Here is a 2268-nt window from a genome sequence, read left to right on the forward strand (position 1 = left end):
AACAGGTAGTATTTGGTTAAATCATTAAGTTCTTTAGTGATAATTTCAGAGATTTTGGTGCAAATAAATTTTAGTGGCAGACATCCTGTAGTGACTGACCATGGTTCTTGGTCAAATGTCAGTGTTGCTCTGGTCTAGGAGGTTGTGAGCTCAGGGTGTAATTCAGTGTAACACCAGGTTCACTGGCCACAGGAGTACCTGCGTCACCCCTCATCCATCTCCATGCAGTGCATCATGGAGAGAGACGCCATTTGGCGGAAGAAGAGAGACATCCACAGGGGACTTTACCTTAAAACCTAGTACCAGCACCACAATAGTAAGGCAGCCCTGGAAAGAGCCCCCAAACCCTTAATTTCAGGCTCTTGCCCCTGAAGAGGGCTTTTAAACCTATCCTGGGCCAGAAGGGAATGCATTACTGAGTGGATTCACCACTAGCTGACTACCGTGGCCTCAGGAATTGAACAAATAGTGGTCACAGTCTTTGGACTATCCCTGGGACTTTATTGGTCTGGGAGGCCATGGGCTTGTGGTGTGGTGCCAGCAGTGGTCACAGGAGTGCCCATATCATTCCTGCCTCAACTCCAGGCATCTCAGAACATCATGAGACTCCATTTGCTTAGAGAACAAAGAGGCAAGTGAGCAAGGGACTTTACTTGGGATCCCAGGAAATTCTTCCTAATCTTCACCAAGCCCATCAAGGCTGAGTATGTAGGAATCTGCACTTAGCATGCCCTTTTGTGTGGAAATAGTTGCAGCAACAACAGGCTTAGGAAACTCAACAATTAGTCCCCTTTGAACTCTTGGAAAGTCCTTTGGAAAAGGACAAATACAAATAAGGTAAGATGTGAAGGCTAGATTAATATCTAATTCTTCAATGCCCAAACAGTAACAAACATTCGCAAACATTAATAAAATTTTGGAAAATATAACCTCACCAAATGAACTAAATAAGACACCATAATCAGCCCTGTAGGGATGAAGATATGTAACCTCTCTGACAGGGAATTAAAATTCGTTGTTTTGAGAAAGTTCAATGAACTTCAGGAAAACATGCAAATATATACACATAAACAATTTGTTAATTTATTATAAAAAATTAACAAAAAGATTGAAATAATTTTAAAATGTCAAATGGAAATCCTGTAGCTAAAAAATACAATTGACAAAGTGAAATTGAATAAACGTCACAACAGCAGAATTGATCAAACAGAAAAAAATAATTGGTAAGCTCAAAGGTAGGCTATTTAAAATACAAAGTCAAGACCGCAGCCGCGGAGCCGCGATGCCTAAAGGAGGGAGAAAGGGAGGCCACAAAGGCCAGGCGAGGCAGTATACGAGCCCTGAGGAGATTGAAGCGCAGCTGCATGCTGAGAAGCAGAAGGCCAGGGAAGAAGAGGACCAAAAAGAAGGTGGAGATGGGGCTGCAGGTGACCCCAAAAAGGAGAAGAAATCTCTAGACTCAGATGAAGAGTGAGGACGAAGAAGGTGACTACCAGCAAAAGTGCAAAGGCGTCGAAGGGCTCAGAGACATCGAGAACCCCAACCGGGTGGCACAGACAACCAAAAAGGTCACACAACTGGATCTGGACGGGCCAACAGAGCTTTCGAGGAGAGAACGAGAAGAGATTGAGAAGCAGAAGGCAAAAGAGCGTTACATGAAAATGCACTTGGCCGGGAAGTCAGAGCAAGCCAAGGCCGACCTGGCCCAGCTGGCCATCATCCGGAAACAGCGGGAGGAGGCTGCCAGGAAGAAGGAAGAGGAAAGAAAAGCAAAAGACTATGCCACATTGTCAGGAAAACGAATGCAGTCACTCTTCCTGTATAAGTAACCGCAACCCGTGGGAGGAGATGCCGGGGACCTGGGCCGCGCTGCCAGGACCTCTGCTGTGTCTCGCCCACCCTGTGCCCTGGCGCCGCTGCAACAGCCCCTCACGGCCAGGAGCCCCCCATGGCCTGGGGTCTCCTCTTCATCTTCGCACATAAATTGTTTGGAGGATGTGGTGAGGCGCTGGGGCAGGGGCAGCTGCTATCTTTGAGACAGAAAGATGCAGGACAGCATTTCATATATAACCATTTGAATGTTTTCACTGTTTTTACAATTCAGAGCCCTTGCTGGGGGTGCCTGGGAGATGGGGTAAGAATAGCTTTCATTTGTCTGATAGATAGCACTTAAGGGGGTGGTTGACCCAGGAGGCAGCTGCTGACGGGTTTGCTACGCCCAGCCCCGGACTGTGTTGCCTGGGTGCTCATTCAGAGAGAGGCTGTCAT

The 2268-nt window shown here is 46.9% G+C and overlaps 1 pseudogene, besides 1 other annotated feature; it reads left to right on the plus strand.

Annotated features, from left to right (window-relative positions):
- Window positions 445-973: an enhancer, noted in NCBI's record as "NANOG hESC enhancer chr5:84844390-84844918 (GRCh37/hg19 assembly coordinates)". NCBI's record gives its function as "activates a minimal SCP1, AML or CMV promoter by ChIP-STARR-seq in naive H9 embryonic stem cells {active_cell/tissue: H9 hESC(naive)}" and the evidence as "EXISTENCE:reporter gene assay evidence [ECO:0000049][PMID:30033119]".
- On the plus strand, window positions 1264-2026 carry PDAP1P2 (PDAP1 pseudogene 2; annotated as a pseudogene).
- Window positions 2027-2268: the final 242 nt, after the last annotated feature.

The sequence above is a fragment of the Homo sapiens genome, chromosome 5 (assembly GCF_000001405.40).
Source record: "Homo sapiens chromosome 5, GRCh38.p14 Primary Assembly".
NCBI lineage: Eukaryota > Metazoa > Chordata > Mammalia > Primates > Hominidae > Homo > Homo sapiens.